This window comes from Homo sapiens, chromosome 13 (genome assembly GCF_000001405.40).
Source record: "Homo sapiens chromosome 13, GRCh38.p14 Primary Assembly".
Classification (NCBI taxonomy): domain Eukaryota; kingdom Metazoa; phylum Chordata; class Mammalia; order Primates; family Hominidae; genus Homo; species Homo sapiens.
Window position 1 is genome coordinate 19,104,374 of NC_000013.11, and position 27,566 is coordinate 19,131,939.

At 41.3% G+C, this 27,566-nt stretch overlaps 1 long non-coding RNA gene and 1 pseudogene across 1 annotated transcript in view, besides 1 other annotated feature; one reads left to right on the top strand and one right to left on the bottom strand.

Annotated features, from left to right (window-relative positions):
* LOC107984132 (uncharacterized) overlaps nt 1-13,910 on the bottom strand; it is a 44,250-nt gene extending 30,340 nt beyond the window's left edge. The window contains exons 1-3 of the long non-coding RNA NR_146902.1: nt 13,606-13,910; nt 9,274-9,428; nt 8,736-8,775 (exon numbers count right to left, since the gene is read on the bottom strand). This is a non-coding gene — a long non-coding RNA (uncharacterized LOC107984132). The remainder of the gene's footprint in view (nt 1-8,735; nt 8,776-9,273; nt 9,429-13,605) is intronic.
* Nucleotides 4,593-4,755: a silencer, noted in NCBI's record as "fragment chr13:19683106-19683268 (GRCh37/hg19 assembly coordinates)". NCBI's record gives its function as "represses an EF-1alpha promoter that drives an FKBP-Casp9 reporter gene in an ReSE screen in K562 erythroleukemia cells {active_cell/tissue: K562}" and the evidence as "EXISTENCE:reporter gene assay evidence [ECO:0000049][PMID:32094911]".
* CENPIP1 (centromere protein I pseudogene 1) lies at nt 22,111-27,183 on the top strand (annotated as a pseudogene).

Consider the following 27,566-nt stretch of genomic DNA (forward strand, 5'->3'; position numbering starts at 1 on the left):
CTGTTGTTTCCTGACTTTTTAATGATTGCCATTCTAACTGGTGTAAGATGGTATCTCATTGTGGTTTTGACTTGCATTTCTCTGATGGCTGGTGATGATGAGCATTTTTTCATGTGTTTTCTGGCTGCATAAATGTCTTCTTTTGAGAAGTGTCTGTTCATGTCCTTCGCCCACTTTTTGATGGGGTTGTTTTTTTCTTGTAAATTTGTTTGAGTTCATTGTAGATTCTGGATATTAGCCCTTTGTCAGATAAGTAGGTTGCGAAAATTTTCTCCCATTTTGTAGGTTGCCTGTTCACTCTGATGGTAGTTTCTTTTGCTGTGCAGAAGCTCTTTAGTTTAATTAGATCCCATTTGTCAATTTTGGCTTTTGTTGCCATTGCTTTTGGTGTTTTGGACATGAAGTCCTTGCCCATGCCTATGTCCTGAATGGTAATGCCTAGGTTTTCTTCTAGGGTTTTTATGGTTTTAGGTCTAACGTTTAAATCTTTAACCCATCTTGAATTGATTTTTGTATAAGGTGTAAGGAAGGGATCCAGTTTCAGCTTTCTACATATGGCTAGCCAGTTTTCCCAGCACCATTTATTAAATAGGGAATCCTTTCCCCATTGCTTGTTTTTCTCAGGTTTGTCAAAGATCAGATAGTTGTAGATATGTGGCATTATTTCTGAGGGCTCTGTTCCGTTCCATTGATCTATCTCTCTGTTTTGGTACCAGTACCATGCTGTTTTGGTTACTGTAGACTTGTAGTATAGTTTGAAGTCAGGTACTGTGATGCCTCCAGCTTTGTTCTTTTGGCTTAGGACTGACTTGGCGATGTGGGCTCTTTTTTGGTTCCATATGAACTTTAAAGTGGTTTTTTCCAATTCTGTGAAGAAAGTGATTGGTAGCTTGATGGGGATGGCACTGAATCTGTAAATTACCTTGGGCAGTATGGCCATTTTCATGATATTGATTCTTCCTACCCATGAGCATGGAATGTTCTTCCATTTGTTTGTATCCTCTTTTATTTCCTTGAGCAGTGGTTTGTAGTTCTCCTTCAAGAGGACCTTCACATCCCTTGTAAGTTGGATTCCTAGGTATTTTATTCTCTTTGAAGCAATTGTGAATGGGAGTTCACTCATGATTTGGCTCTCTGTTTGTCTGTTGTTGGTGTATAAGAATGCTTGTGATTTTTGTACATTGATTTTGTATCCTGAGACTTTGCTGAAGTTGCTTAGCAGCTTAAGGAGATTTTGGGCTGAGACAATGGGGTTTTCTAGATATACAATCATGTCGTCTGCAAACAGGGACAATTTGACTTCCTCTTTTCCTAACTGAATACCCTTTATTTCCTTCTCCTGCCTGATTGCCCTGGTCAGAACTTCCAACACTATGTTGAATAGGAGTGGTGAGACAGGGCATCCCTGTCTTGTACCAGTTTTCAAAGGGAATGCTTCCAGTTTTTGCCCATTCAGTATGATATTGGCTGTGGGTTTGTCATAGATAGCTATTATTTTGAAATATGTCCCATCAATACCTAATTTATTGAGAGTTTTTAGCATGAAGGGTTGTTGAATTTTGTCAAAGGATTTTCTGCATCTATTGAGATAATCATGTGGTTTTTGTCTTTGGCTCTGTTTATATGCTGGATTACATTTATTGATTTGCGTATATTGAACCAGCCTTGCATCCCAGGGATGAAGCCCACTTGATCATGGTGGATAAGCTTTTTGATGTGCTGCTGGATTTGTTTTGCCAGTATTTTATTGAGGATTTTTGCATCAATGTTCATCAAGGATATTGGTCTAAAATTCTCTTTTTTGGTTGTGTCTCTGCCCGGCTTTGGTATCAGAATGATGCTGGCCTCATAAAATGAGTTAGGGAGGATTCCCTCTTTTTCTATTGATTGGAATAGTTTCAGAAGGAATGGTACCAGTTCCTCCTTGTACCTCTGGTAGAATTCGGCCGTGAATCCATCTGGTCCTGGACTCTTTTTGGTTGGTAAACTATTGATTATTGCCACAATTTCAGCTCCTGTTATTGGTCTATTCAGAGATTCAACTTCTTCCTGGTTTAGTCTTGGGAGAGTGTATGTATTGAGGAATTTATCCATTTCTTCTAGATTTTCCAGTTTATTTGCGTAGAGGTGTTTGTAGTATTCTCTGATGGTAGTTTGTATTTCTGCGGGATCGGTGGTGATATCCCCTTTATCATTTTTTATTGTGTCTATTTGATTCTTCTTTTTTTATTAGTCTTGCTAGTGGTCTATCAATTTTGTTGATCCTTTCAAAAAACCAGCTCCTGGATTCATTGATTTTTTGAAGGGTTTTTTGTGTCTCTATTTCCTTCAGTTCTGCTCAGATTTTAGTTATTTCTTGCCTTCTGCTAGCTTTTGAATGTGCTTGCTCTTGCTTTTCTAGTTCTTTTAATTGTGATGTTAAGGTGTCAATTTTGGATCTTTCCTGCTTTCTCTTGTGGGCATTTAGTGTTATAAATTTCCCTCTACACACTGCTTTGAATGCGTCCCAGAGATTCTGGTATGTTGTGTCTTTGTTCTCATTGGTTTCAAATAACATCTTTATTTCTGCCTTCATTTCGTTATGTACCCAGTAGTCATTCAGGAGCAGGTTGTTCAGTTTCCATGTAGTTGAGCGGCTTTGAGTGAGATTCTTAATCCTGAGTTCTAGTTTGATTGCACTGTGGTCTGAGAGATAGTTTGTTATAATTTCTGTTCTTTTACATTTGCTGAGGAGAGCTTTACTTCCAACTATGTGGTCAATTTTGGAATAGGTGTGGTGTGGTGCTGAAAAAAATGTATATTCTGTTGATTTGGGGTGGAGAGTTCTGTAGATGTCTATTAGGTCCACTTGGTGCAGAGCTGAGTTCAATTCCTGGGTATCCTTGTTGACTTTCTGTCTCGTTGATCTGTCTAATGTTGACAGTGGGGTGTTAAAGTTTCCCATTATTAATGTGTGGGAGTCTAAGTCTCTTTGTAGGTCACTCAGGACTTGCTTTATGAATCTGGGTGCTCCTGTATTGGGTGCATATATATTTAGGATAGTTAGCTCTTCTTGTTGAATTGATCCCTTTACCATTATGTAATGGCCTTGTCTCTTTTGATCTTTGTTGGTTTAAAGTCTGTTTTATCAGAGACTAGGATTGCAACCCCTGCCTTTTTTTGTTTTCCATTTGCTTGATAGATCTTCCTCCATTTTTTTACTTTGAGCCTATGGGTGCCTCTGCACGTGAGATGGGTTTCCTGAATACAGCACACTGATGGGTCTTGACTCTTTATCCAATTTGCCAGTCTGTGTCTTTTAATTGGAGAATTTAGTCCATTTACATTTAAAGTTAATATTGTTATGTGTGAATTTGATCCTGTCATTATGATGTTAGCTGGTTATTTTGCTCGTTAGTTGATGCAGTTTCTTCCTAGTCTCGACGGTCTTTACATTTTGGCATGACTTTGCAGCGGCTGGTACTGGTTGTTCCTTTCCATGTTTAGCGCTTCCTTCAGGAGCTCTTTTAGGGCAGGCCTGGTGGTGACAAAATCTCTCAGCATTTGCTTGTCTGTGAAGTATTTTATTTCTCCTTCACTTATGAAGCTTAGTTTGGCTGGATATGAAATTCTGGGTTGAAAATTCTTTTCTTTAAGAATGCTGAATATTGGCCCCCACTCTCTTCTGGCTTGTAGGGTTTCTGCCGAGAGATCCGCTGTTAGTCTGACGGGCTTTCCTTTGAGGGTAACCTGACCTTTCTGTCTGGCTGCCCTTAACATTTTTTCCTTCATTTCAACTTTGGTGAATCTGACAATTATGTCTTGGAGTTGCTCTTCTCAAGGAGTATCTTTGTGGCGTTCTCTGTATTTCCTGAATCTGAACGTTGGCCTGCCTTGCTAGATTGGGGAAGTTCTCCTGGATAATATCCTGCAGAGTGTTTTCCAACTTGGTTCCATTCTCCCCATCACTTTCAGGTACACCAATCAGACGTAGATTTGGTCTTTTCACATAGTCCCATATTTCTTGGAGGCTTTGCTCATTTCTTTTTATTCTTTTTTCTCTAAACTTCCCTTCTCGCTTCATTTCATTCATTTCATCTCCCATTGCTGATACCCTTTCTTCCAGTTGATCGCATCGGCTCCTGAGGCTTCTGCATTCTTCACGTAGTTCTCGAGCCTTGGTTTTCAGCTCCGTCAGCTCCTTTAAGCACTTCTCTGTATTGGTTATTCTAGTTATACCTTCTTCTAAATTTTTTTCAAAGTTTTCAACTTCTTTGCCTTTGGTTTGAATGTCCTCCCGTAGCTCAGAGTAATTTGATCGTCTGAAGCCTTCTTCTCTCAGCTCGTCAAAGTCATTCTCCGTCCAGCTTTGTTCCATTGCTGGTGAGGAACTGCGTTCCTTTGGAGGAGGAGAGATGGTCTGCGTTTTAGAGTTTCCAGTTTTTCTGTTCTGTTTTTTCCCCATCTTTGTGGTTTTATCTACTTTTGGTCTTTGATGATAGTGATGTACAGATGGGTTTTCGGTGTGGATGTCCTTTCTGTTTGTTAGTTTTCCTTCTAACAGACAGGACCCTCAGCTGCAAGTCTGTTGGAATACCCTGCCCTGTGAGGTGTCAGTGTGCCCCTGCTAGGGGGTGCCTCCCATTTAGGCTGCTCGGGGGTCAGCGGTCAGGGACCCACTTGAGGAGGCAGTCTGCCGGTTCTCAGATCTCCAGCTGCGTGCTGGGAGAACCACTGCTCTCTTCAAAGCTGTCAGACAGGGACACTTAAGTCTGCAGAGGTTACTGCTGTCTTTTTGTCTGTCTGTGCCCTGCCCCCAGAGGTGGAGCCTACAGAGGCAGGCAGGCCTCCTTGAGCTGTGGTGGGCTCCACCCAGTTCGAGCTTCCTGGCTGCTTTGTTTACCTAATCAAGCCTGGGCAATGGCCGGCGCCTCTCCCCCAGCCTCGCTGCCGCCTTGCTGTTTGATCTCAGACTGCTGTGCTAGCAGTCAGCGAGATTCCGTGGGCGTAGGACCCTCCGAGCCAGGTGTGGGATATAATCTCGTGGTTCGCCGTTTTTTAAGCCGGTCTGAAAAGCGCAATATTCGCGTGGGAGTGACCCGATTTTCCAGGTGCGTCCGTCACCCCTTTCTTTGACTCGGAAAGGGAACTCCCTGACCCCTTGCGCTTCCCAAGTGAGGCAATGCCTCGCCCTGTTTCGGCTTGCGCACGGTGCGCGCACCCACTGGCCTGCGCCCACTGTCTGGCACTCCCTAGTGAGATAAACCCGGTACACCTCAGATGGAAATGCAGAAATCACCCGTCTTCTGCGTTGCTCACGCTGGGAGCTGTAGACCGGAGCTGTTCCTATTCGGCCATCTTGGCTTCTCCCCACTGTAGTGTTAATTTAAGTGGCTTCGAATTCTTAAAATTGGGTCCCCCATACATAAATAATGGTTCAACAATCAAGCACAAATAAAAGCTCTCTTGTTCCAGTTAAGTGCCAATTTTACCAACAGTAAGAGTGTAAATCAACAAGGTAAGTATTATGGAATATAGACGGTTAGATTATCCTTTCTGCAGTGACTCTTAACTCCTATTGTCAATAATTTCTAAAATAAATTAACCATAAGTACTTATATACCAATAATTTATATTGTTTTAATTGAAAAAATTCCTGGCATGCCTGTCTTTGATAAAAACATAAATTATTCTTCTTTTTTAATATCATTGAGCAGCTTTAGAAAATAAGTAAAAAAATAAAACTTATAACTAGGTTTTTCACCTATGCCTCCTTTCTGACTTCTTGCTTCTAAGCACTTCCTTTTGCTGTCAAATGTGTTGTGCTTTATATAATAAATTGCAAGATCATTTTATATTAAGCATCATTTATTTTATACTGCAAATATGTTCCCCTCTGATTTTCCTTGTTAACACATCCAGATTTGGTAGGAAATAAGTAGAAAAACAAGGCAAGGTTCTGCTTTCAGGACTCCTTTCTCTTAAAGACATATTTATACCTAAAACCAATCATTGAAATTTTTCTTATAGGAATATATATCTGTGTCCACAATTCAGAGATTCTGGGGTTAGACGGTAGCCATTGATAGCTCTGGCTTTTAATGGGCCTCGGGGGGCATTTGTTATTATCAAAAAATTATGTTACAATTTTAACTACAAGTGTTTAAAACATTTATATAGGGTCCAAATTTAGATCCAATAGTATGACAATTTTATCATGCTTAAACTTAACTTTCTTTGGTCACAGAAAAAGCATCACAGTTTTGCTATTTTTTTTTTAGTTTAGAAGAGGGTAGAGAAAAAAATTAACAAATCAAAGACTATCAATTACCCCAAGTTAATAAATGTTGACTTTTTTAAACATCATTTATATAGGTATTATTATATACAAAATGTAAATAACTGTTTTTCTCCACCTTCTCTGACAACCGCCACCATCAGACACTTTGTAGATGTCCTGCAAGATCCTTTTTGTATATTTAATATGGGAAGTTATACACATAAAAAATAGCTTTGAAACAAAGGCAGTAACAGTCCTTTCCTTACTGTCTGTGAACTAGACTGCCAAAAGCCACAGGATTAGAAGTGCTAGTCATCTTCACCACGCAGCTATTTTCATTAAGCCCTATCAATGTCTTACTTATTAAAAATTACTCAAGTAAAGATCATTCTGTTTTGGGCTGGGTTTATAGTTTTGAACACCCAATGCCAAATTTCAACACCTTATAGTATTTGGCAGGAATATGTATAAAATTACTTGATTACTAAATGTAAAAGAAAATGTATGCTGTCAATTCTTACGACATTTCTAATATTACTTTACCAATAATTTTAAAGCTAGTTTATTTATTAAAGATTTTACTTTAGTTACATAAACTTGAAAAAGCATTTGACTAGTCTTTTTTAGTATCAAACTTAAGCACTTTTATTTTTCTTTAAGCCAATTAATTAGAGGTATTTTAAATATTTTTAGTAGTGGAACATTCTATACACCACACACAAATACATATGAAAATCTATCACGCATGCCGATGAAGTACTGAAACCGCCTTTGCAGCATTATAACTGAGGAAATTATGACAGTGAAAGACCTAACCGACCCTATCTTGCTTCTAACCCTTAAGCTGTCCTTCCTCATTCCTGGGCATAAGCTGAACTAACTTTGGGAAGGAATTTAGTTCACTGTTTGACTCTGAAAGCAAATTGATAACAGCCCTTTCCCGAAAAAAAAAAAAAAAAAAAAACCCTTCTTGCCTGGGGAGCAGTCTGCCTTTGCAGGACTATCATATTAGCTACAAGATTAGAAATTACAGTTTAGGGGTTACGCAGTCTCCGGCTTCAAAATGCTGAACCTCCCCAAACTGCTCCTGCGGGTGACATCACTACTGTAAAGCCTAACATCAGTGCTTGATACATGTTGCAGACCCTGCCCAGGCCAATAATCTGGCCCAACCAGATGTGCCATCACTCCCATAAATGGAAGACAGCAAAAAAACCTAACTTCAACCCCCTATGATTCCATCTCCAACCTGACCAATCAGCACTCCTTACTTTCCAAGTCCCTATCCACCAAATATCTTTAAAAACTCTGATCCCTGGCCACATGCGGTGGCTCATGCCTGTAATTACCGCACTTTGTGAGGCTGAGGCGGGCAGATCACGAGGTCAGGAGTTCAATACCATCCTGGCCAACATGATGAAACCTCATCTCTACTAAAAATACAAAAAATTAGCCAGACATGGTGGTGGGTGCCTGTAATCCCAGCTACTCAGGAGGCTGAGGCAGGAGAATGGCATGAATCCGGGAGGTAGAGGTTGCCATGAGCAGAGATTTCACCACTGCACTCCAGCCTGGGTGACACAGTGAGGCTCCATCTCAAAAAACAAACAAACAAAAACCCTCTATCCCCGAATGCTCAAGGAGACTGATTTGAGTAATAAACTTTGGTTTGCCACACAGCCGGCTCTACGTGAATTACTCTTTCTCCACTGCAATTCCTCTATCTTGATAAATTGGTTCTCTCTAGACAGTGCGCAAGGTGAACCCAATGAGCTGTTACCGTACGTTTTACAGCTTTAAAGATCCCCCTTTATTTCCCATCTTAGACTTTCAGATTCTTGATAACCTGGTTCACAACCCTAGACAGCTGTCAGCTAAATAGCCTTAAATTTGAACATTAAAGGAAACAACTCAGTTGAAAATCAAATACCAAAACTTACATCATAAACTACAGGAAAAAAAAAGTCTGGTGGTGCAAGAGGGAGACACTAATATTTTTCTTTAAGCCAAATTACACATAATTAAACTGCACTCTTCCTTAAAAACCCAAGTGTAGCCTCTGTTGCAATAACTATTTTAGTCAAAAAAAAAAAATCAAGTGAACACAGAACTCAGCCAACTGAGTAGAAGAAAAAAAAAGAAAGAAAAAAACACAAGGTCTTAGGAGAGTAAAACAAAAAAAACAAAAACACGAAGGCCTTTCAAATAGAAACATGCATACATACACACACACAATCTTGGATGTTACCTTTTAAGCTGATTTTTACACAATTGTGCTCCTTTAAACAAAACTCTTTTAATCTTACTACCATATTTCAGCTAGAACAAAATTCTGCTAAATTAACAATGGTCACACAAATTATATGATTTCTGAGCACTCTAAGTGTAAGCGGAAATTAACACCAGCTGGTTATTAAACGTCGACTTTATTCTTTAAAAGGAATTTGCAAGACAGAATCCAAACCCAGTTTCTTACCTTGTGATGGGTCTCAGGCTGTAGACTGCTCTCTACCATCCTAGAAGCAGAAAAAAAAAATGGATTTGCCTGCTGGAAGAAGTGAGCTCTAACTCCATAAAAAAAGACATCCCTGATCTCGAAAAATTTGGTCAAGATCTGAAGTTTATTTTGCTGTATGTCTCCCTCTTTTTTTTGGAGTTTTACTTGCTTCCAACAAGAAGACAAGTTTTCGTACCTCCATGATGATGGAAGGCAGGTAACTCCTTTATGAAGTTTGAGCTCACTTCTTCCAACATGCAAACTGGGGCCTGGCCCCAACACCCCACCTGCACTGGGCTTCCTCTTCCTCCCACAGCCAGAGCCGCCTTCTCTCTCCATCTTCTCGGGGAGTTTCCCTCAGAAACAGCCCTAAAGCCTCCTATGCTTTTCAAAAGCCCTCAGGGAGTGAGTACTACTATAAAATTAATGGTAAGATAGCAAGACAAAAAAAGAAAAGGAGTGAGAATCTAGCAGAAATACACAGAACACTCCAGAAAATGAAAGCTTCTGTACTCACCATGAAAGAAAAAGGCCTCAAAGAAGCTGGCCGCAGAAAAGCCACACCGAAGCTGTCCTCAGTAGTCAGCGCCATGGACAAGAGGTGTCTCTTCCCCAGGATGCATCCTCAAGTTATCCCGAAGCTGCTGCAGCACCTGGTGTCTCCTGGTAATCCTAAAATTCATATAGAACCAAAAAAGAGCCCACATAGCCAAAGCAAGACTAAGCAGAAAGAACGAATCTGGAGGCATTACATTACCTGACTTCAATCTATACTACACCTAGTAGAGACGGGGTTTCACCGTGTTAGCCAGGATGGTCTTGATCTCCTGACCTCATGATCACTCGCCTCGGCCTCCCAAAGTGCTGGGATTTACAGGCGTGAGCCACCGTGCCCAGCAACAGACTTTTAATAAACAAGAGCCAAGAGCGCACCCTGACACTGTGGCTCACATCTGCCATCTCAGCACTTTGGAAGGCCAAGGCGGGCGAGTCACTTGACCCCAGGAGTTTGAGATCAGCCTGGACAACATGGCAAAACTCTCTAAGAAGTACAAAAAATTAGCTGAGCATGGTGGCGCATGCTTGTAGTCCCAGCCACCTGGGAGACTGCGGTGGGAGGATCACTTGAGCTCAGGAGATCGAGGCTGTAGTGAGCAGTGATTGCACCACTGCCCTCTAGCCTGGGTGGCAGAGGCACCTCTGAATCTGTTGGATTCTAACCCTGTATATCTCAAATTTTATTAATATTACTCAATCTTAAAGGGAGCTATGATGTCTTTAGTCTTTAAATATATTAAACCTATAAACAAAGGACTCTATAAGGTTGAACAGTATTCAAATTTCTATATGCCTTAAAACGTGGACACAATGTATTGAGAAACACACCTACGAAAATGCACCCAATCAACTCTGAACAAAAATTTAGGTATCTCTTCAATACAAGCTATCTAGTGGTATTTACACATATTCTTCCATATATCAACAGTATCTTACACGCTCATGTTAAAAATAACTAAAAAGTGTCCAAATTATAGGCCTTACACATTTCTGAAAAACGATACAATATAGATTGTCTTATAGCAGTCAAGAAAATGCATAAACTAGAGGACTCATCACCAAAAACATAATAATAATAATAAAAAAAAGAGTTCACATCAAAGGTAGTAATACTAAGAATAAAAGAGGGCTCAACACCACAGGTTCTTTGAAGCAAAAGTTATTAAAGCCTTGTTTTGTTTGTGATTCTTTGCCTTAAAACATTATATACAGCCGGACGCCATGGCTCACACCTGTAACCCCAGCACTTTGGGAGGCTGAGGCAGGTGGATCACCTGAGGTCAGGTGTTCTAGACCAGCCTGGCCAACACAGTGAAACTCCATCTCTACTGAAAATAGAAAAATTAACTGGGCGTGGCAGCAGGCACCTGTAATCCCAGCTACTCAGGGGGCCAAGGCAGGAGAATTGCTTGAACCCGGGAGGTGGGGGGTCGCAGTGAGCCGAGTTCGTGCCATCATACTCCAGTCTGGGGTACACGAGCGAGACTTCGTTTTCAAAAAGAAAAAAATTACACACAGATTCTCCCCACTTCCTTTTTCTCTTGCAAAGAGGTGGTGATGAACCAGGTTTGCTCATGCAGATGACAACACTGTTGAAAATGGTGGCAGAGAGCTGGGCGCAGTGGCTCACACCTGTAATCCCAGCACTTTGGGAGGCTGAGGCGGGTGGATCACCTGAGGTAGGTAGTTCAAGGCCAGCCTGACCAACATGGAGAAACCCCCTCCCTACTAAAAGTACAAAATTAGCTGGGCATGCTGGTACATGCCTGTAATCCCAGCTACTCAGGAGGCTGAGGCAGGAGAATCTCTTGAACCTGGGAGGTGGAGATTGCAGTGTGCCGAGATCGCCCCATTGCATTCCAGCCTGGGCAAGAAAATGATGGCAGAGAAATAAAATGAACGGAATACAGTTCACTTAATAATCTCATAAATTAGAACATATTACCCCCGTGACTCTTGCATAGCTCCAGACAAATACGTGGAACAGATGAAATGGCTGTTTGCTACCAATATTCTATGTGATGCTTCATTTTTTGATTCCTTGAATAACTACGTAAAACACATTAACCCATTTATGCCAGAGGCTGCAATTTTTTGAATTTTTGCATGAGTGAAAAATCAGACCTTGTCGATGACCCTGAGTAGTAGGATACAAGTAACTCTCTCATGCTTAGCGTTCCAATAATGGAACGCTAAGCATAAGTGGGTTAACACGATCATGAAAGCATAGCTATTCAAGTAACTACACGACCGATTTTTTTCCTCATCTCTAAAACATAGTAAGGGACCTGTTGTTTTAAAAATACAACACAGTGAAAGTAGTTTCTTTTTAACTCAGTTTTGATTTGTTGTCTGGGCATAAAGAAAACAAAAAGAGGAGAAACAAGAATAGAAACATGAAATAAAGGCGGCATCAAAAAAAAATTGATGAACAAGATGATGAAAAGAAGAAAACACAAACTGGAAGAAAGAGAAAAGAACAGGCATGGGAATTAGAAGGCCTATTATGATACCTTTTATCCCCTCCCCAATTCATGAAATTTGAAAAAGTCCAAGACTATCACGACAAAACAGAAGCAAAAAAGTTACACTGTCAACCCCCTAATTTTGTTAAGAATGAGACAATGCTGCCACTCACACCACAGTCACCAGCAGGAGGAGAGCACCCTCCAGAGATTGCTGAAGAAGTGGGAGGACTCCTACTTTCCCTAGGTGTGCCTCCACCACTGTTACTGAGGCCCACAGTACAGCACCCGCAGGTTCCTCCCCACCCCAGGTTGGCTGGGCCCTGCAGCACTCCTACTCTCCCTTCCCGGCCCCCAGACTTGCTGCTGCTACCACGACTAGCACTGATGCCAATACAACCACTGTCACCTTCGATACAGCAGCCCACCCTACAAGGTTCCTACCACCTTGCCCCTGTGGGCACCCTCCTAGCACTCTGGTCGAGCTGCAGTCTCCAACACTGTCAACAATAGCATGAGATAAACTGCAGAGCCACTACATACGCAGGCTCCAGTGTACCACAGGTGACTCCTCCTTCTCCTCCTCCAGCCTGGCTTGGAGCAGCTAAGCAGGCAAAGCCAGAATAGCTTAGAAGGGGATGCAGGGAGTGGTAGCGTTAGTGTCTCACCTTGTCACGCTGGCCACTGGGTGGCAGGGACCAGTTTTAGTGAAGGCACTCACACCCACCCGCCAAAGTCCAGCCTCTCCTTCTGGCAAAAGCTGGCCAGAAACTGGGACTTGGGGTGAGTGTAAGTGCCTTCGCTGAAACCACCCCCAGCCAAGTGCAGCTGGCCACAAATTGCTGGGCCCACCAGGGCTGACAGAGCAGGAGTAGGAGAAACTCAGACCCAGCCAGCCATCCCCACACAAGTGCTGGTTCCCATTCCTGACACCTCCACCCTCAGTGCCCTGTCCCCACTGTCCCCCGTGATGCCCACTACTCCCTGCCCAGTAGTCCCAGGTGGTCTCTGCAACACAGAGCATGGGGGCATGGGCCAGGGAACCGCTGTTGGTGTGGGGGCCCTGCCATGTTCGAGAGTGCACGAACAGGAGGAGGTTATCCACTAGAGTCTGGAGTTGGGAAGAGGAGAATGGTCACCAGAAGGAGACCACTGCTGTCACTGTCACTGCCACCTCTGCAGCCCACCAACGCCGCTGACAGTGTACCCCCGACAGCACCCCTAACCTGCCCCCTGCTGCTGGAGGTGTATCTCCTGGATAGCACACCCAACACACCCCGTACCAGTTTGCAGGCAGTGTAACCCCAGTATTCCCCCAAAGCACCTCCACCCAGGCAGTGTAGCACTGGATAGTGCCCACGACCTGACCCAGCCATGGGTGTTGTTGCACTAGATAGTGCCCCAAACCAGTCCCTCACACGTGCCCCACCAAGGTCAGCGCAGCTCCTGATAGCACGCCCCAAGGGCAGTGCAACACCCAACAACGCCCCTAAACCACCCCCACTACCAGCATTGGAGCTCCGGATAACCACCCCACCCACCCCCTGCCGCAGCCAGTGCAGCAGAAAATAGCGCCCCTAACCCGTCCCCCGCCACCGACAGTACACATTAGTGCACACAACTTGCCTCCCCCAAACACCCCCACCACCGCGGGCAATGTAGCCCCCTGGTTAGGCAGCCAACCCTCCCCACCGCCAGCAATGCAACCCTGGAGAGTGCCCCCAACCAGCCCCCTACCACAGGCAGAGCAGCCTCGGGCAGTGAGCCACAATTGGACACCCAACCCCTGCCCCCAGAGACAGACAGTGCAGCCCCGGATAACTCACCTATGCAACAACATTTCTACCACTCTGGCCAAGCTGTAGTGTCCAACGTCACCTCCAACTGCAGTGAGGCGAGCTGCGGCGGTGCAAGCTCCAGCCTCCAGCATGTGGTGGTGCCTCTCCCTTCTACTCGTCCTCCTGCCCGGCAGGAGAAGCTCCCGCTGCTGGCCGCCCTCCTACCGTTCCATCGCCACCACCACCTGCAGCCACCCAGTGCCCCGGATGGCGGCTGCTAGCAGCCCCTTCTCGTAGTTCTCTAAGGCAGATACTGAGCACTGACACTGAAGAGCCTGAAACGAGGGGACTCCGCCTCAGCATGCTTTATAGCCGAGGTTAAGGCACACGCAGTTCCTGGACTACATGTTCTGATTGGATGAGAGAAAAACCTTTAGGCCTACTCTGATTGGACTTTATTTTCATGCTGTGATTGGTTGTCTTAAGGCTTGCTCTTATCCAATCAGAACATGATAATAAAGTCCAATCCGAGTAACCCCGGAGGTTCCTTCTCATCCAATCAGAGCGTGCAGTCCAGGAATCCTCCTGTATATAACCTCAGTATATGAATGCTGCTGAAGGGAAGTCAGGCCCTTGCAAGTTCACGTGTCTTCATGTAGAGCTGCTTACTGCCCGGCTTAGAGAACCAGGAATGGGTTATCAGCGGCTGTGCACTGGATGGTGGGGCCACGACAACGTGGCTCGCCTGGCTGCGGTTGGTGGTGGCGGCAACGGAGACGGCAGCGTGGCTGGAGTGATAGGAGAAGGAAAATAGTTTTGGGATAGATGGAGGGGGTTAAAGCGGGTGGTTAGGAGTAAAGTGGGTGGTTAGTGCCAAAGGGAAAAGAGGATAGCAAGCAGGAGAAGGCGTTGCAAAAAGACGATAGGAAAAAGATGGTGGGAAAAAAAAATTTTGGGTAGATGGAGGGGGAAAAACAGGGTGGGGAGCGGGAGGGAGGGAAGGTTTTGCAGAAAGACGGCGGTTAAAAAGTTTATGGGTAGATGGAGGGGGAAAAGAGGGTGGCAAGTGGGAGGAGGAAAGAGGGTGATGGGGGGGAAGTGGGGGTGAGCAGTAGGGAGAGAAGGTTTTGTGAAAAAAATGGGGAGAAAGGTTTTGGTTAGACGGGAGAAAAGAGGGTAACAAGTTGGGGAAGGAAAAAGAGGGTAGCTAGGAGGAAGACAAGGTTTTGCGAAAAGATAGCGGCCAGAAAAGAAAGACGGTGGAGAAAGAAAAGACGGTGGGTAAAAAGTGGGTAGATGGAGTGGGGAAAGAGGGTTGGGAAAAAAGGGAACTTAGTTTGGAGTAGATGGAGGGCAAAAAAGAGAGTGGCAAGCAGGACAGGTCAAAGAAGAGAACGAGTGGGAAGAGGGGATGACTTTGTGAAACGGCGGTGGGGAAAATTTGGGAGGATAGATGGAGGGGGAAAAGAGCGAGGTGAGCAGGAGCCGGGGAGAAGGCTTTACGAAAATACGGTGGGGAAAATTTTGGGGGATAGATGGAGGGGGAAAAGAGGGAGGTAAGCAGGAGTGGGGAGAAGGCTTTGCGAAAAGACGGTGGGGAAATGTTTTTGGGTAGATTAGAGAAGGGAAAGAGGGTGGCAAGGAGGAGCGGAGGGAAAGACGGTGAGGAGAACAGTTTTGGGTAGATGAAGGGGTAAAAGAGGGTGGTGAGCAGCAAGAGTGGGGATAAGGCTTTGGGAAAAGACGGGGAAATGTTTTTACTTAGATGAAGGAGCAAAAGAGGGTGATGAGAGTGGGACGGGGAAAAAGAAGGTGGCCAGAGAGAAGGGGAAAAGACTGGGAAAAATCAGTGGGGAAAGTGTTTAGGTAGACGGTTGGGGAAAGGGTGGTGAGCGGGAGAGTAGAGAAGGGTTTGCGAAATGACGGTGGGGAAAAAGTTTTGGGCTAGATGGAGGAAGAAAATGGGTGGTGAGGGGGGAGGGGGCCAAAGGCGGTTGGGAAAAGAAGGTGGGGAAATAAAGGTGGGAGACAAAGGTTTTGGGTAGATTTTTTAAAAATCAGATTGTTTATATTTTTGCTTTTGAGTAGTTTGAGTTCTTTATATATTTTGTGTCTTAACCCCTTGGCTGATGCATAGTTTGCAAATGCTTTCTTCCATTCTCTGGGTTGCTTCCTCATTCTACTGATTGCTTCCTCTGCTTTGCAGAAGCTTTTAAGTTTAATGTAATTACATCTTTGGTTTTGTTGCTTGTGCTTTGACAAGTTTAATGTAATTAAACTTTTGCTTTTGTTGCTTGTGCTTTTGATATCTATTTGAAAATCCCTTGTCCTAACCAATTTCATGAAGCGTTTATCCTGTCTTCGTCTCTAGTACTTTCATGGTTTCTGGTCCTACTTTTAAATTTTTATTTTGAGTAGATTTTTGTATATGGTAAGATAACGGCCTAGATGGATTCTTGTACATGTGGCTGTTGGGTTTTCCTAGCACAGTTTATTGAAGAGATTGTCCTTCCTGAATGTGTGTTCTTGGTGCCTTTGTTAAAAATGAGTTGACTGTAAATGCGTGAATTTATTTCTGATTTCTCATTCTGTTTCATTAGTCTATGTCTCTGTCATTCCTTCATTTCTCGGTCTCTCCCCCGCCCATTTTTTGATAGTCTTATGCTGTTTTGATAGTACCTGGCTTACTATAGGTTTGTAGTATATTTTGAAATCAGGTAGTGTGATGAATCCAGCTTTTCTTTTTATTCCAGATTATTTTGTCTATGTGAGGTATTTTGCATTTCCATGTGAATTTCAGGATTTTTTTTCTAGTTCTATGAAGAATGTCTTTTGTAATTTAACACGGATTGCATTGATTCTGTAGATCACATTGGGTGATATAGATATTTTAACAATATTCTTCGGGTGCGTGGACATGGAATATTTTTCCATTTACTTGTGTCTGCTTTAATATCTTTCATCTATGCTTTATAGTTTTCATTGTGGGATCTTTTGTCTTTTTGGTGAAGTTTATCCCTAGATATCATTTTTTTGGTAATGAAATAGATTTCTTGATTTTTTTCTTAGGTATTTCACTATTGGTGCATGGGTGTGTGCCAGTTTTTATATATTGATATTGTATCTTGCAACTTAACTAAATTTATAATTTCTAGTCGGTTTTTTTGTGGAATCTTTAGGGTTCTCTATATATATATGTGTATATATGTATATATGTATGTATGTATATATACATGTGTGTATGTATATATGTGTATATATGTATGTGCGTATGTGTATATGTGTATGTATATATATGATCATGTCCCCTGCAAACAAAGACAGTCTGACTTCCGTTATTCTAATTTGGATGTCTTTTATTGCATTCTCCTAATTGCCCTACCTAGGACTTCCAGTACTGTGATGAATAAAAGTGGTGTAAAAGTAGCCACACTTGTTCCAGGTCTTAGAGGAAGAGCTTTTAACTTTTCCCCATTGATTATGATGTTAGCTGTGGGTTTGTCCCATATGGCCTTTATTGCGCTGAGATACGTTGTTTTGTACTCATGTTGTTCAGTTTTTATCATGAAGGAATGTTGATTTTTATTTTTTTCAGCATCTACTGAAAAGATTATATGGTTTTATTCTTGATTTGCTGAATGTGATGTCGCACATCTATTTATTTGTGTTTATTGAATCCTCCTCACATTCCTGGGATGAATCTCACTTGATCATGGCAGATCATCTTTTTATTGTGTTGTCAAATGCAATTTTCAAGTATTTTATTGAGGATTTTTTTGCGTCTGTATTCATCAAGGATATTTGCCTGTGGTTTTCTTTTTGTGTTGTGTCCTGGTCTGGTTTTTGAACCAGGGTCATGCTTCCCTCATAGAACAAGTTTCAAAGCCTTCCTTCCTCTTCATTTTTTGGGGAATATTTTGAGTAAAATTGATATTAGCTCTTTTAAAAATTTTTGATAGAATTCAGCAGTAAAAAAAATGATTCTTGTGTTTTTCTTTGACAGAAGACTTTTTATTCCTGCTTTAATTACATTACTCATTATTGGTCTGTTCAGGTTTTTTATTTCTTCATCATTCTATCTTGTGAATTTGTTGTATGTCCAGAAATTTGTTCATTTCTCCTAGATTTTTCTATTTGTTTTTATATAGGTGTTTTCAATAATCTCTTACAATCCTTCATATATCTGTGTTATCAGTTGTAATGTCTCCTTTTTCATCTATGATCTTATTTTCTTTTTCTTTCCAATTAAAGCTTATCAATTTTGATTTAAAAAAAAAAAATCCTAGCTCTTTATGCCATTGGTTTTTGGTATTTTTTTGTTTCTATTTTTAAAATTTGTTTTCTAATCTTTATGATATTTTTTCTACTAATTTTAGCATTTTATTTTTCTTGTTTTTCTCATTGCTTGAGGTGTACTGTCAGGTTGACTGAGATCTTTCTACTTTTCTGATGTAGGCACTTATAGCTATGCACTTTTCCTCTTACGTCTGCCTTTGCTGCATCCCACGGGATTTGTTATGTTGTGTTTCTGTTCTTATTTGTTTCAATAAATTTTTAATTTCCTTTTTATCTTTTTCATTTATTTATTGGTTGTTCATGAGCATGTATTTTAATTTCCATATATTTGTATAGTTTTTAAAGTTCCTCCTGTTACTGATTTCTAGTACTATTCCACTGTGGTCAGAAAAGATGCTTAATATGATTTCGGTTTTTAAAAATGTTCTATGACTTGTTTTTTGGCCTAACACATAGTCTTTCCTGGAGAATAATCCATGTGCTACTCAGTGGAATGTGCATTGTGCAGTTGCAGAGTGGAAAGCTGTGTAAATGTTAGGTCCATTCGGTGTAGATTACAGTTTAACTGATGATGTCTTGTTGCCTGGATGATCTATCCATTGATGATAGTGAAGTGTTGATTATAGTGGAGCGTTGAGGTACTCTATTACTGTATTGCAGTCTATCTGTCCTTTAAGGTCTGTTAATATTTGCTTCTGTGTTCAGTTGCTTGAGTGCTGGTTGCATATGCGCTTATAATTGTTATGCTGCTGTTTACTTCTTTCTCATGATGTAATTATCTTCATTTTTTTCCTTTTTTGACTGACAGCGTATTTTATCTAAGTATAGCTATTCCTGCTTTTTTGTTTCCATCCCTTCACTTTCAGTCTATGTATGTCTTTGTAGGTGAACTGAGTTTCTTATAGGCAGTATATAATTGGGTCTTGTTTTTTAATCCATTCAGCCACTCAGTCTTAATTGGAGAATTTAATTCATTTATATTCAAGGTTATTGCTAACAGGTAAAAACATACTACTGCCATTTTTTGCTTGTTTTCGGGTTGTTTTGCTACTCTTTTTGCTTTTCTTTCTCGCTTCCTTCCTCTTTCTCTTCTCTCTGATCTTTCTTTTTTCCTTCCTTTCTCTTCTTTCCTCCTTCCCTTCCTTCCTGTATTTATTTGTAGTGAGGTAATTTTTTCAGGTAGTATGTTTTAATTCCTTGCTTTTAATTTTTAGGGTGTCTATTATTGATTTTTGTTTTCTGGTTACCATGAGGCTAAACAACATAATTATAATCAGTTATTTTAAACTGAAGAAAACTTAACTTTGATTGGTCTCAGCTACTCAGGAGGCTCAGGTGGGAGGATTGCTTGACCCTGGGAGGCCGAGGTTGCAGTGAGTTGAGATTGTACCACTGCACACTCCAGCCTGGGTGAGTGACAGGGTGAGACCTCACCACACTAAATAAATAAATAAATAAATAAATAAATAAATAAATAAATAAATAAATAATGCAATAGCTTATATTGAATTCTGATTGTAAATTTTGAGATGGTGATTGATAAGGTATAAAGAATAAAGTGAAAATCATTCATAATCTCATTACCCAAAGACAACTACTCCTAATGTTTTGGTACATATGCTTCCTAATTCATAACCCCTTCTGTCACATACACACAAATGCACACATACAATAGATACATTTTACACACACAGATATAATTTTATTGTAGCATTTTAAGAAAAACGGCTTTGTAATTTTTTTATTTAAAAATATTGTGAATATCTTTCGTGAATTATATTCATACAAAATATTATACATCATAGGCCGGGTGCGGTGGCTCATGCCTGTGATCCCAGCACTTTGGGAGCCCGAGGTGGGCGGATCATGAGGTCAGGAGATTGAGACCATCCTGGCTAACACGGTAAAACGCCATCTCCACTAAAAAAAAATACAAAAAATTAGCCTGGCATGGTGGCACACACCTGTAGTCCCAGCTACTCAGGAGGCTGAGGCAGGAGAATCGCTTGAACCTGGGAGGTGGAGGTTGCAGTGAGCCGAGATCGTGCCACTGCACTCCAGACTGGGTGACAGAGCAAGACTCTGTCTCAAAAAAAAAAACATACATCTTACTTTTAAGATTGTGGTTTCTACTCTTTGGGGTGGCAGGTACACTTCTTGCTAAAATGAATTGTCTCAGTATCTTTGATTTTCCTTCTCTCCAGTTGGCTGTTGCTTTCGGAAGGGGGGCCTGGATCTCCCTCCTGTTTGCTTGGGGACAAACACATAGTATCATGGGGTTATGAAAACTTGTTGCCTGCCCCAGATAGCAACACTGGCTCCAGTTCTGAAAATCAAGGGAATGTAAGAGTTTTTGTCCTCTGATTAATACTAAGATGTAAATAAATTGGTTTTAGATCACTGTAACAAATGATTTAGTTGTAACTCTGTGTGTTTTAGATCATTGTAGCAAATGATGTAGATGGAACTCTGTGTTCCTTTTAATTAAGAGCCAGGATTTCTATACAGTATGTTCATTGTCTGCTTTATCAGTAAAAGTATAGTAAAGACGGGGTTTCACCATGTTTGCCAGGCTGGTCTTGAACTCCTGACCTCAGGTGATTCACTCTCCTTTGCCTCCCAAAGTTCTGGGATTACAGGTGTGAGCCACCGCACCTGGCCGTCACCTTACTTAGGTGGAGTATTGTGTGAAACACACCATAGAACTCACATTCACTTACAGCTGGGGGAGGCTCACCTCATTGTGTGACAAGATTGGAGCCTGTCTGCCACACCTCCCTGTGTATCTCCGCATGTCCTCAGGTCTGCTGGGGGGCTCCCTTGTCCTGATCTCTTATGCAGAGGAAGGACATGGCATGTGTTGAGAGCCAGCCTGGTGGTGGTATGTAGTGACTGCCCAGCCAGTGGAAGCTGCTGCTGTTGCCTCTTCGGACCATCTCTTCCCTGTCCAGGGCCTTACTTCATGGAAACACCACAGGTGGAGTCCAGCAGGAAAGTGAGAACTGCTCTTTTCCTTCCTTTTTTTTTTTGATACAGAGTCTCACTCTGTTGCCCAGGCTGGAGTGCAGTGGCGCTATCTCGGCTCACTGCAACCCCTACCTCCTGGGTTCAAGTGATTCTTTTGCCTCAGCCTCCCAAGGAGCTGGGATTACAGGCGCCCACCACCATGTCTGGCTAATTTTTGTATTTTTAGTAGAGACAGGGTTTCACCATGTTGTCCAGGCTAGTCTCGAACTCCTGGCCTCAAAAGATCCACCCACCTCAGCCTCCCAAAGTGCTGGGCTTACAGGCATGAACCATCGTGCCCAGCCAAGAACTTCCCTTTTTTTTTTAAATATGACACAGAGTCTTGTTCTGTCACCCACGCTGGAGTGCAGTGGCGTGATCTCGGCTCACTGCAACCTGCACCTCCCGGACTCAAGCGATTCTCCTACCTTAGCCTCCAAATATCATAATATCATGGGGTTATGAAGACATGTTGCCTGCGCCAGATAGTAATACTGGCTGTAGTTCTAAAAATAAAGGTAATGTAAGAGTTTTTGTCCTGTGATTAAATTAAGATGTAAATAAAATGGTTTTAGATCATCATAGCAAATGATTTAGATAAAACTGCATTTTAGATCATTGTAGCCAATGATTTAGATATAACTCTGCGTGTACCTTTTAGTTAAGAATTCAAGATTTCTGTACAGTACGTTCATTGTCTGCTTTATCTGTAAAGCCTAAAAGCTGATACTGGGTGAGGTAAGAAAATGGATGCGTTTTACCATCACAAGGAAAAGATATTATCCGTACAGTCTTGCCAAGGAGGCATGGACTACTTAAATTGGCTTCTGGATTTCAGTTTGGGTATGATAGCCTTAAGTTGCATTTTTTGGTTACTGCGTAATATTTATTTTAGTAACTGACTGTGTGTGTTTAGTAATTGATTGTGTTAATGAACCCTCCTGTCCTAAAAGCAAAAATGAAGAGGTTCAAGGGAGCATGAATTGTTAACATCTCCTTTAAACAAATAGGCTAGGTTAAAATTTTTTTACAGAGCTTTACAGTATTACATGTCAGTTTATTACAGTATTACATGTCAACAAAAATGGCAGAAGCTCTCTCAACTGACTTGCCAGATGGATTAGATCTCTCCATTCACTCAATAAAATGTCCAAGATTTCATACTATATTTTCAATTAAAGAGGAGTTTCAGACTTTATGTTGCTCCAATTTATGGATATCTACTCTCTTGTACTTTATATCCAAATTTGTAGATCTATTTGAAGAATTCAGAGAATCTATGGAAGATGGCTCAGCTTGCTGTGAAGCAAAGAAACCAGGGACCTTCTCCAGAACCTCTGAAGTTGATGTTAGGTCCAGCTAGTGTTTGTCCTCTAAAAAAAGTAAGTATCTAAAGCCCAAACAACTTGCATGGCTTTCTTTTGTTAAATCCAATTAATAACCATTCAGATCTTAGAGGAGATTATAGATATTTAAATACATGTCAGTTACCCAGGATTCTATGTAAACCATATTCAGATCCCTTTAATTGAAACATCTTAATAGCTGCTTTTATATTTATGGTGTGTAAGTCTGTTTAGTCCATCAATAGATTGTTTTATTATCATTTTTTTAGAAGTGGAATTCTCTCTCAGTTATACTAGTGCTTGATTGCAGTAGCTACACTAAAGAATGTGGAATAAAAGAGATGAGTCTTTCTGATTGAATAGAAGTGGATCATTTCCACTAGAACAGCTTCAAAGCTTCCCCCAACTTTTACAGAACATCCATTGCTTAGAGGTATGTGACTGGACCATGTGCTTCTTTGCATTTTCTATTTGAACTTCCTTCATGGCCTTTTTGTTTTTGTTTTTTCGAGACAGGGTCTTAACTCTGTCACCCAGGCCATGGCACATTCATGGCTCACTGCTGCCGTGAACTCCTGTGCTTATGTGATCCTTCCACCTCAGCCTTCCAAGTAGCTGGGACTATAGATGTGCACCACCACGCCTGGCTAATTTTTTAAAAAATTTATATCAGGCTGGGCACGGTGGCTCACACTGATAATCCCAACACTTTGGGAGGCCAAGGCAGGTGGATCACTTGAGATCAGAGGTTTGAGACCAGCCTGATCAACATGATGAAATCACATCTCTACCCAAAAATACAAAAATTAGGCGGGCATGGTGGTGCATGCCTGTAGTCCCAGCTACTCAGGAGACTGAGGCACAAGAATTGCCTGAACCTTGGAGGCAGAGGTTGCAGTGAGCCAAGATCTAGCCAGTGCTCTCCAGCCTGGTTGACAGAGTGAGACTCTCTCTCAAAAATAAATATATATATGTATATGTGTATATATATATGTGTGTGTGTGTATGTGTGTGTGTGTGTGTATACATGTTAAAAATATGTAACGTGTGTGTTACCAACCCAGGCTGGTCTCACACTTCTGGGCTCAAGTGATCCTCCTGCCTCACCCTCCCAAAGTGTTGGAACTATAGGCATGAGCCACCATGCCCAGCCTATTTTTGTTACATATTTTCTTTATGATGGTTCCCTTATCCACTTTTCAGATACTTAACTGTTGATCAGTTGTTCTGCTGTTGGCAGCTGCCTTCTCAGATGGGCTCCGTGCTAAACAACTCTCTGCTGCTTCACTACAGTCTTGCTAAGGTCTTATTAGTGGTTGAGTCAAACATTACAAGAAGGTAAGAATTGAGTGAGGCTGAGACAAGATAGTTTACAAATGGGTTTCTTTTGTAAGGGTGCCAAATTCTAGAGAAGAAGAGCCTTCATATGCTGTGATTATGTCTGTGGTAATCATATATTTAGAGCATGAATGTTTGCTGTAATTTCAAGGCAGTAGGAAGGGAGGGGGATTTTGTTGAGGAAATGCTGCTGGATGGAAACACTGATGGATGGAAACACTGCTGGATGCCACCAAGACTCACCGGGTGCCTCTACTTTGACGACTATCACAATCCAAGGATTCTTCATCTTTGTATGTCCAGAAACTTGGTATTAGGCCCCCAGAGTCATCCCGTTAATGGTAATGAAACTCAGAGGAGACTAATGTAAAAGCCAGATTGTCAGCTAATTATAAAATTAATTATTTCTGGTAAGCAAAATGCTCATCTCCGCCAACTAGAATATCCCCTCTCTGCTATCAGCATATATGGGAACCAAATTTGTCGTTAGAAGATTTCTCAATTATAGAATTAAAGGAAAGGACAGTGAGAAGCCTTTCATCCAGGCCATAGTAAAGCCTGAGCATTTCATTCCTCCACTGGTGGGGGGCGGTGGGGAGATGATATTTCTTTTGACCAAACTGAGTGTTCCATTATTGGATAAGCTACTCCTGATTCTTCTAGTGATTAAAGTTGCTTTTAGTTGGTTCCAGGCCAATTCTCCTCCTTCTACTCTGAATCTTTTAAACAGAATATGATAGGTTATTAGATTTCCACTTACTAAGTTTCTATCATTCTTACATTATACCCAGCCTACCCTAATTGAAGTTTAGGGTATTCTAAAACTTTCAATTCAGATGTTTATACTTTCTTGGATTAGTATGTGATATGAAGCTTACCTTATTCATTATATGTGAATTCTCTCCATTTATGTTTTCACTATAAGCTTTTCCCTATATTACCAAGTTGTTGAACATACCTGTTGTAGTCTACCTCATGAGTTAGCTAGGATGTATGAGACTAATGGCTTTTTTACTTTCTCACTTATTTGTCACTTAGTGATAATTATATTCTGTGCACTTTTTTATTCTGGTACAGCTGGATGCTTGTATTTACTGTTTCTGCTCTAGAATGTATTTGGTACAAGGTGAATAATTATGAACATGGAAAAGAATTTACCAACTTTCTGGATATTATCATCAGGGCAGAGTCCTTCTTACAAGTAAGATTTCACTTGCTGCTTCCACACTTCACCACTCTTTACTAACATTTATTTAGATACCCATTGAAAACCTTTTTCTTGGCCAGGTGTGGCAGTTCACACCTGTAATCTCAGCACTTTGGAGGCCAAGGCGGGTGGATGGCTTGAGCCCAGGAGTTGAAGACCAGCTTGGGCAACATAGCAAAACCCCATCTCTACAAGGAATACAAAAATTAGCCAGGCAAGATGGCATGCATATGTAGTCCCAGTTACTCAGGAGGATGAGGTAGGATCACTTGAGCTCAGGAGGTCGAGGGTACAGTGACCTGTAATTGTGCCACTGCACTGCAGCCTGGGTGACAGTGAGATCCTGTCTCAAAAACAAAGAAAAAACCATCTTTTTAGTACCTGACACCTTTTGTAAATAATATTTGTTGAATTTGAAACTCATTATAAATAGAGTTGGGGAGAGTTGAGTTGGACTTGAAATAGAGCACTGTTGGATTTGAAGAATATGTTACGTTATGCAAATAAAAGAGAAAAGCCTGTAATTTAAGAGAACAAACTGAAGATGTAATTAAATGTATTCAGTTAATTGGATTAGCCAGTAATGTAAATTTCATAGGGTTACTACTTTTGTGCTTATAATCAACAAACATTATTTGAGCATCAGATATATTCCAGCCAATGGACTGATTGGTCTGGGTAACCCCGAGTTGTATTTTAAGCTGCAGCTTAGGTATCAGTACCATCAAGAAGCCTTCACTTACTGCCCAGTGTGGGTTAGCTCCTTGTTCTATGTGCTCCCATGGCTCCCTGTGCTTACCTCTATCGTGACACTTTGTAGCATCCATTTCTGCACACATGATGAGCTCCCAGCTGGCAGAAACCACATCTAACTCCTCTTCATGTATAGATGTTCAATTTGATTGATAAATGTTTGTGGAGTAATTCTTTTTTTTTTTTTTTTTTTTTTTTGAGACAAGGTCTCGCTCTGTTGCCCAGGCTGGAGTGCACTGGCACAATCATGGCTTACTGCAGCCTTGACCACCTGGGCTCAATTGATCTCCCCCATCAATCTAGTAGCTAGGACTACAGGTGTGCACCACCACTCCTGGCTAGTCTTTTTTGTCTGTTTTTTTTTTCTTTTTTTTTTTTGTAAAACTTGGGGTTTACCATGTTGCCCAGGGTGGTCTCATACTCCTGGGCTTCAGCATTCCTTCTGCCTTGGCCTCCCAAAAGTGCCAAGATTACAGGCGTGAGCCACCACACCCAGCCCAAGTTTTAGGGATTTTGTGTGAAACCATTTAATTAGAAGCTTGGGTGCAGACGATGGTAGTGAGGATAACAATTTAGGTTGACGTTTATGTTTCCTACTTGGGAAGATGGATGGCATTCGCTGAGAAAAGAAATACAGGAGGAGCAGGCTTGGAAGGAAAGATGTTTCACTTAAGAGATGCCTATGGGACATCAAAGCGGTCATACCCAGTACGCAGTAAAATAATGAGTCTAAAGCTCAAGAATGAGATTTGGGCTGGAGATAAAGATTTAGGATCCCTCATGTTAAAAGCGGTGGTTTTAGCTATGATGTGGGTGGTTTTAGCTATGATGTGGATGAGATTGTCCAGAGGATTCATATCATGAAAGCAGGTCTTAGGACAGAGTCCTGGTGCATGTCACTTTATAAGGCTTGGGTGATAAAGGAAAAAAGAGAAGCCCCAGATCTTCACTCTGGTGGAAATATAAGCAACCTAGACATTTGAGCCTCTAAAGATGGAGCTGCTCAGAGTTGGGATTTGGCCTAACGCCCTAATGAAATTCTAGCCCTATTACATAACATTGTACACATTTTGACTGTTCAAATTACTGCATGTACCCCAAGATAATAAATTTTATTTTAAAAATTCTGTAACTTTTAACCTTCTTTCCAATTGATGAAGTTTTTTGGTATTTGAGAACTATATTGATAAAGCTGGTAATGCATGCAAATACTAATCGTCTTTTTTTTGAGGAAGTCTGGCTTTTATTATAATCTAACGCTTTTATTATAATTGATCTAACGCTTTTATTATATTGATGACAAAAAATTAGTCTAAGAGTGAAGCCACTATAGCACAAAATAAACTAGTTGTTTAGAGTATAATTTTATGACTGAAGAGTTCCATACAAGGATTTACTATTCACTTGTGTTACAGGAGGGGTTTCATTCCTGTGAAGCATTCCTGTATAAGAGCCTTCCTCTCTGGGATGGCCTCTGTTGTCGGTCACAGTTCCTTCAGCTTGTGAGATGGATTCCTTTTAGTAGCTACTCTGGTATGTGTCATGAAAATTTGGAGTCATTTAATTCAATGTACTGTGATTGAAAGGATTTTGATATATATTTTTTAATTCCTAGAGGTGAAACCACTTCTTTTTGATCGTCCGGCACAGCCCTTCTTTACATCAGCCATTTATTTCAAGGTAACAAAAACTTTAGATTTAACCACTGTTGCTAGTGGTACACAATTCCAAACTGACATTTGAATCAAAGTATAAATGAATAGTATTTTTAAAGTCTATTGAAGTATTTTCACATTTTCAGTGTGTTTTTTTTTGGGCCTGGTCAGTTATACCTATCAGCAAACAACTTATTTTCACCAAAGAATTTTGCATGGGAAAGGCCCCACAAATCCACAGTAATGTTGTTATATTTGTTTTGGAATGTTAATTTTTCAATATCTGTCCTTACTGATTTATCATTTTCCATACAGTTGCAAACATAGTGGACATAAATTAAGAAATCAAAATACATAATTAACATTGCATAATAATTTTCATGTTTCCACATAGTCATCATAATGTTA